Genomic DNA, 9,071 nt, shown 5'->3' on the forward strand with positions numbered 1-9,071 from the left:
ACATGCCAAAGGTGACTGGGTTTTAAATAACTACGTAGGCCTAAACATAGATGCCAAGGCAGCAAGTATACTTAACAAATTTATGACACCTATCCGATCCTATTCTATCCTATCCTATCCTGCCCTGCCCTGCCCTGCCCCGTCCTGTCGGATCCAATGATATCCTATCCTATCCGATCCGATCTTATCCTATCCTATTCTATCCTATCCTATCCTATCCGATATGATCCTATCCTATTCTATCCTATCCCAGTCAAATAGAATCTAGAGTTATATCTTCTAATTTTATTTCTCTTGCCATCAATAGGCCACAATCCAGTTTATAACTGGTATGTAGCAATGGATTAAAAAATACTTTGGTTGTATTCCCCTTCAAGTAAAAATTTTTGAAAAATCTGACTAGGTATATGTACATTTATTTATTTATTTATTTTTATTTTTATTTATTTCTGGGGGGAGGGAGTCTTGCTCTGTAGCCCAGGCTGGAGTGCAGTTGCGAGATCTCGGCTCACTGCAAGCTCCGCCTCCCGGGTTCACGCCGTTCTCCTGCCTCAGCCTGCTGAGTAGCTGGGACTACAGGCGCCCGCCACCACGCCCGGCTAATTTTTTGTATTTTTAGTAGAGATGGAGTTTCACCATGTTAGCCCAGATGGTCTTGATCTCCTGACGTCACGATCCGCCCACCTCAGCCTCCCAAAGTGCTGGGATCACAGGTGTGAGCCACTGCACCCGGCCGGTATATGTATATTTATTTAAAGTGGCATACATCTACTGATATTAATGTGTTTATTAAATGTCAAGAAAACTTAACTTTTTAAATTTCTTAGCTAAAAATACGAATAGAATTTATAATATTTTTCTTTCAGTACAACATCCTGTACACCATTTGATTAGGTCTAAGGCAAGCTCCTTACCTGACCACTTATATGACTTTGAGTCAGTGATTTAATGTTTCAGCATAGAATTTCTCATCTGTAAATTGGAAATGATAATATATATTTTATATTTTATTGAAATAATTTGAGTAAATATTGCATTTAATGCAAACAATATAGCACTTGACCTCCCCAAAAGTAAATAAAGTTACTTTAATAATTCATATTAATTGAACAAACTTTTATTGACTACCTAGTATGTGCAAAGCACTGAGAGAATATGAAGATCGATAAAAGATTAGATATGATGATGATGATGATGATGAAGTAGAAGATAGACGATAAAGAAGAGAATGAAGAAGAGAAAGAGGGAAGAGATGTTATAAGCTACTAGGCCTACCAATTTATATAAATATAAAATGAGGCAGGATATATCATGTCTTAATAAAGATATATTTGGCATTGTGCCTAACATTTAGTGTAAATAAATATTTTTGAATACATGGGAGCAATTATGGATGAACGAATGAAGGAAGGAATGTGTTGCCGTCTTTGCAATTACCACATAGAAATCCTGCTTCAGTCATTGTCTTGTTACCAGCAGAAGTGACATGTTGCAGACCTCTCTTTAATACTTGGCCATCTAAGATAAAAAGTAAAAGGACCATTGAGTTTTGTTTTGTTTTTTTTTTTTTAAATAAATGTACGGGGTACATGTGCAGTTTTGTTACATGGATATATTGGGTAATGGTGAGTTTTGGGCTTCCAGTGTGCCCATCACCCAAACAGTGAGCATTGTAACCAAAAGGTAATTTTTAAAGGGATTCTTATAGTAATTTTTAAAATTAAAAATGCCACATCACATGTGCATTTTTAGAAAAATGATTAAAAGAGAAAATCATAACTCTGTTTTGAAGGGATCTTTTATTTTCATCAAAATGTTATAGTGAGGAAATAACCATTATTAAACTTCTTTTCTTCTTACTCAGTAATCAGATAAAGGCATCCAGCTTCACCCACAATTTCTTCAAATACATTGAAAATGGAGTTAAATATTTTCACAGGTAAGTCACTTTATAAATCAATAGATGAGACTACTGTAACTATATTACTAGTTCTTTTGACATAAATATTAAAGGGCCATCTTTAAACATATGCTCATTTTTTATCCTGTCTTTCTCACCACTTCTTTTTTATTTCAAAGTCAATAGAAAAATCTACTTAAACAGGTCTCATGTTATTGAGAATCTAGAATTGGATTTCAGATTTACTTTTTGATTCAGTAAATTATGTTTTATCATTCAGAGGATGCAACATATAAGGTGACACATTGTAGCCAGATAGAGAAGTAACATTTTTCAATTGCTATTGGCTGTACTTCTGTTTTTATTAACCCTCTTGCTGGTAAATGTGAATTCAAGCTCTATGGAATCAGATGGGAAATAACAACTTTCTTTAGTGCCATTCAGGCAATAGAGAATGATTTTCCATTTGTGGAAATATCATCTAGGCAATAACCTGCAATGGCAATTTGTCAAGAAAAGAAATCCATCACCAAGCTTGATAACGCTAGCGGAGAATGAAGTATGTGCGTACAGATTCACAGTTACCATTTGACCCTGGGAGTCCCCAGGATTATCAATCATCCTACATTTCTCCCACTTCTTCATTTTCCCACCCTCCTCTCACCCTTCACAAAGAGGCTAGCAGCTGTGTTTTTCCATTCAGCATGTGAGGAGCATGCAATAGCTTTTAAAACACTTCCCCAGATATTTTCTACAGTATAATAATCCTTGAGATTGACAAGGTAGGATCATTCTCTTTCTTCTGTAAAAGATGAAACTGAAACCGTGATTAAGTGACTTGTCTAAGGTCACACATCCAGAAAGAGGCAAATGTGTGGATAACACTTCTTTCTGAATCATTGCACTTTGGAATACACTAATGGTCAATGAGGCATTAGACAGAAAAATGAAAGGGACCAGGAAAACCAAGAAGCCTTGAGCCCGTGAATACTGAGCGTTTAACCACTTTCTTATTAGGTAAGTCATTTATTGTTTTTGAGTGATTAATTGATTTGAGAAACTATATTAGCTGTCTACTGCTACAATAATGTAAGTCTCATTGACGGAGTGGTGGCAGAGTTCCCAAAGGAGGGGCAGAAATGTGGAAGACCTCTGTAGGCCAAGGGTCAGAATTAGAACACTTTTATCGCACTCTATTGGGCAAAGCAGATGAAAAGTCTATCCCAGGTTCAAAGGGTGGGAAAACAGACTCCACCTTTTAATAGGAAAGCTACAAAGTTACACACCAAGGAGTGTGGCTATAGGGTGGCAGTCATCGAGGCCACTTATGCAATCAGAAACACTCACTCATCATCTCCTATATGCCAAAGGTCTGGGAATATAAAGAAGACTAAATTGTTCTCTCTAATAAGTAGAGTTTATAGTCTGGTAAGAGAGACAGACACATAAAGTCATTGCAACATCAAACAATATGAAGAGGGTAGGCAGGAAAATGAACACTTTGATCTACAAAACTCAAGAGTGTAAGACATCTAACGTTTAAAATTTTTCTGTAACATTTAATTTGCCTTGTATATCATTTTAATCCATAAGAAGATTGAATTAGTTCTAGGTAATGAATTAATTCTGAGTTTCCTAAATGTCCTAAATAATTGGCATTGTAATTGGCATTTAGTCATTAAAATCAGGGTTTCTCTATCTCCTCCTTGTCAAAGTTTCAGGGTCTAGGTCATGTTTTCAATCATCAAACATTGGGATCCATAGAGATTGGTATTCCTTGTGGTCCTGACCCTAGATACATAGATCCTTCCACATTCACCAGTGAATTACTGTCTAAACCCAGTCAAATACATGTGACTATGTTACCAATGTTAGAATACAAAATCTAGTGACCTGGAGATTAAGGAAGAAATAATAAAAAAGTATAGAAGTAAACTTTATTTTGTATCAATATTTAATATTGGCTACCAAATATTCTCAAATACCTGTATAATATTAAATATTATATTTATATTAAACATATTAAACATTCTTTTAAAATATGATAAATAATATTAAACCAATATTATAAATATTAAATATTATAAATATTTGATAAAAAATATTCATGGAGATAATATGAATTGTCGTATATTCATATGCATCATTTCAGAGTGAAACGATAGTTATTTTTTGGAAACTTAAGTAAAAATGAGTCTGAAGACAGCACTGAAGGGAAGTTGAAAGAATGTGAATTCCAGCCCATCTTCATCCCTAGCCATGTGATTCTCACAAAGTCATTTCCCTTCTCTGGCTTGTTTCCCCATTCCTTATTGAGAGGGTCAAATTAGATAAATATTTCAGTCCTTGTCATTCAAATCTCATAGCATTTAGGAGACTGAAAAGAGCTATTAGTGGCTGTAGGGAAAGAGACAGTGAAAGAGAGAGACAGAGAGAGAGAGGAGGAGGAGGAGGAGGAGGAGGGAGAAAGAATGAGAATCAAAAGAAAAGTCTATGTAAGCTTACAGAAGGTAGGATATCTGGGGATGATTTGTTTACCTAGCTGAGATGATAGTTTTGAGTGAATAATACATATTTTGATATTACATATGGATGTTTCTTTGTATGAAGGCAAAGTTTTAATAGTCAGAATACTATATACCCCATTACAGTGTGAACATACAATTGTAAAGTAACATAGCTCATTATAAGGATCTTAATTAGTTATATATATATATATATATATATATATTGCTCCTCAATGTAAATATTATTGAAAACAACTAAAATATAGAAAGAAAGGAAGTCACTTTTAGATTCTCTGATAAGAAGCATAAACGTCAACATGTACCAATTTGAAATATTATTATTAGTAATACTTCAAAACATAGTCATGCATCATTTCTAATAGATTTGCAATGGATGAAATTATGGAAACTTTATTCAATACCAATAGATGGTACTTATTGACCATACATGATTGGTCAATTTTAACATTATACAGGTATTTTGAGAATATTTGGTAGCCATAATTCACAATAATTCAGATGAACTAGGCTGTGATTAATGCAGATTTAATGTAATTATAAGTAGATAAACTTTCTAGCTAAACTTGGCAAAAATGGCATTGGACGGGGATTCATAATATTATGGAAACTGATGTGAGTTCTCTGTTTATCTTAAGCAACACAATCTATAATCTCATGCTGAAAAGCATTGACCTTGGCGGTTTTCTGTAACCTTAACCTTGGAAACAGACTATTGCTCATGCTCTAGTTGTCAATTTCTAAATCACACTCCCCTGTGCCTTTGAGATTGACCACTTTTCAAACATCTCTGTTATGTTTTATTTAGTCTGATGTCAGTATCAACCAAGCCAAAAAATGAAAAAAAAAAAAGGTATAAAAGCTAGCTATGAGACATAGATTATACTGGCCAATTTTGTAAAAATACTCATTGTTCTGTTGAGGATAAGGAAAGCCAAGTACATTTTACCATTTCTCGTCTCAAGAAAAGCTAATAATCTAACAAATTGATGCTGCAGATGGGAGCAGCCAGTTAACTGCCACACACAGGGCTGATTCTTCAAATATAAAAAATGTAAACATAAACTCTCCCTCCCACTCGCCACCCAAGGGTAACAATGTGACAAGGGATTATGTATTGACATGTACATAGCAGATGTTGGACAATGATTAATTAAATGTGAATAATTGGCATTGTAAATGTTACTTATCTCTCAGTGAAACAAAATATAACACTTCAACCCTGACAAAAGTCATTTTGCTCTGATTTTGTGGGTTTTATTTAAATAACTGTCATTTGTTTTCTTCTTACTTTTTTCTCCTCTCCTCCCTCTTATTCCCCTTGGTAATTTAGGGTACTCTGTCATGGTCTCAGGTGTTTGTGTCTGTCGGGACCCTTGGCCACTCCAAGTCTGCTGTAGAGCAAACCAAATTGTTTCTGAGTGCCACAAGGGACATGCCTCTCTTAATAAAACAGAAAACAGCATCCTCCAAGGTTTCAGCTAAAAAGAGGCTGGGAAAGAATGGCTGGCTAACACAGCTGAATCTTTTCCCTCCAAAAATAGATGTAGTCTCATACATTTCCTGAAAAATAAAATGGACTGTATTAGTCTGTTCTTGCACTGCTGTAAAGAAATACCTGAAGCTGGTAATTCATAAAGAAAAGAGGTTTAATTGGTCCACAGTTCCACAGACTGTTTAGGAGGCATGGCTGGGGAGGCCTCAGGAAACTTTCAATCATGGTAGAAGGCGAAGGAGAAGGAGGCACATCTTATATGGCTGAAACCAGAGGAAGAGAGAGTGGAGAGGGAGGAGCTACACATGTTTAAACAACCACATCTTGTGAGAACTCACTCATTATCAGGAGAACAGCAAGGGCGAAACCTGCCCAATGATCCAGTCACCTCCCACCAGGCCCCTTTTCCAACACTGAGGATTACAATTCGACATGAGATTTGGATGGGGAGACAAATTGAAACCATACCATGGGTGTAAGTGAATTGGTGGCCCATCCTTCTCCGTGTATCTGTTAGTATGGAAACTGCCTATACACAAATACGTTATTTCAAAAGTAATATCCTCTGAGGGGCTAGTTCAAATTCCCTGGGCTGTGCAAGTAAGCAGATTGCCTCTGCCCTGTGGATCTCACTAAAGGTCTAAAGCCATATGGATGGACAAAAGAATGCTCTTAAGCAGAGATAGGTTAAAGCATAGTAAATCCATAGAATGGATTACAATGCAGCTATAAAAATTCACGAGGTAGAAGAATATGTATTGGCATGCGAAATAGTTAAGCTGTTAAATAACAGTCAACAGGCTTGCATTTTTCTTTTCTCTCCCATGATTTTCTATTCTCCTGATGATAAAAATGAGAGAGAAGGACTTTGGGAGTGCAGCCTGGACTTCTCACTTGAAAGAACCACCGGCAGAGGTTTTGGAGAGTCTGGGTTGCTGTCCCCATAGAGCCTCTGCAGGGAATGGGAGGGGAGAATGAGAACTCAAGAGGCAAATATGAAATAAGCACAGTGGCCTCCAGCAGGCTGTTTCTTCACAAATGGAGACTGGAAGCCCACCCTCACTGGGCCTGGGTCCACATCAGCTACCACCTATGTGGGCACCATCAGCTCATCCAGAAGTAAGTGGTTCTTGAAGACTGACCGTTCTGACTGTCGATAATGGAGGCAGCAGCTCCCTGGCTCTGACAGCTGGCCCCAAACTGATTGCAGTAGACTAAGCAGGCTTGTGAAGTATAATGAATCACAGTCTCCTTCTCTTCCCAAACACAACTTCAAAGTCCAAGTGGCAGATGCCAAGAGCAAATCTGACCATTATTGCACATCTTTTAAGGATGAGGTCCAGCCTCTCTGCAGATAGACTGTTAGAGGCCAGCTGGTCCTCTCTTGCGGACCCCTATCTTCTCCCATGTTGCACCTTCCTTACCTGACCATGGATTTAGCATGCCACTTCCAATGAATCAGGGCAACCTTTACAGAATGGAAGGGAATCAGAGTGGAATTAAAGAAAGGGGAGATATTTAGACCTAATATTGAACATATGTGTAATTTCAGAATTGGGACTGTTGAACAAAAGATTAGTTTGGTTTTCATTGCACTTTATTGAAGTCATTGTTAAAAAAATTGTGAGGAAAGTTTTTTTTAGCTAGAGTGAGACTAGGACCATAAATTTGACTACCGGTGTTAAATAGTCCAGACACAGCTGCCCAGGAAAAGCCAGCTAAGAGGCCCAGGGAAGAGGAAAGGAGTTCACACATCTGGCACAAGTGATTGAAGAAAGCAAGTGTCCCAGTCCAGAGTTAGCAGCAGAAGATGACCATTGGCTGATCTCTCAGTTTGGCACCTACGCAGGGCTTGTGCCTTCATTCAGTCAAGGCCAGAGATACAGGACTGAGAAGGCTGATTCTATGTACTCAGGCAAGATTGTGGGGAGAGGAGGTGGGAACAGCTGAACAACTTAGCAGGAGGAGAAGACTCAAGGTGATTGGAGGAGGCCTTGGCCATCAAAGGAAAGTCAAGACAGAGAAAGTGGCCAAGGTGGTTGTAGGAAAGGAAAGAGAAACAAAGTGGCTCTGACAGCAGGAGAGTAAAAGTGATATCAAATGGAGCCAAGAACTTGTAATTTTTTTTCTCTTCTCCATTAAAAGGGCCCGAGCTGTGAGAGTAAGATTTCAACTGAAACCAGGAAGCACATAGAAATATGTCACAGATGTGAGAACTTCTCCATCTCTGGAAAAGTCTGGGAAAAGGCCCACACCTTGAGCTCCAGGGAAGTTGACCTAGGTCCCTTCACCTGTCCATGCCTCAGCCATGCAAGTAGAGTGAAGAATACGTGGAAAATAAAATCTGAGGAGCACAGGGATTTGAGCTTCCACATGAATTGCCGATGTTGCTTGCTATGTTTTCTTTCTGAAACTTAACCTTAAATTTCTGTTTAGAAACTCTGTTAAAATCACTGTTGTATATTTCAGATATTCTAGTATTTCTGAGTAGTTGGGGAAGGGTGGTTGAGGTGACACAAAAATTTCTTCAATTTATGCAACTTCTTTTCTGGTGGGAGTATTTAAACTGATGTGTCATGGACAAAGGTATTATGCAAGGATTTCCTCATAGGAATGCAAGAAAAGGAATGAGATTTCTTTAATTATGTACAAGAAGTATCAAAGGGGCATTTAAGAATCATGTAGCAATAGGATATGAACATTTGGAATAAAGGGTAAAAATAAAAAATACTCAGGCTAAGTCATTGCACACAATTATGTATTGAATACCTGCTGGATGCTAGAACTATATTGGGTGCCAGTCATACAACATTGAACAAAGTGTGACCTTACACTCAAGGCCTTCAGAGTTACAGGAAAAGACAAGATTATAGAAGACAAATTTAACTACCGTACTTTATGGCAGGTTCTCTTTAAGTTAACAGTATATGGTAGTACAAAGGAAGAGGGTTCGAATCTACCTGCTTACTATGCCTTTCACAGCAATTTAAAAAAAATGAGTAAAATTTCAGTGAGAAATAACAATTGAATAGATTTGATCACGTTAACTCTGAGATGCTTCTGACTTTTGACATCAGCCTAATGAATAAATTCCATTGGACATAACCTATCCAGTCGACTTATTGTTCCTGTAGCATAAAGTAAACTTAAA

This window comes from Homo sapiens, chromosome 13, assembly GCF_000001405.40.
Source record: "Homo sapiens chromosome 13, GRCh38.p14 Primary Assembly".
Classification (NCBI taxonomy): domain Eukaryota; kingdom Metazoa; phylum Chordata; class Mammalia; order Primates; family Hominidae; genus Homo; species Homo sapiens.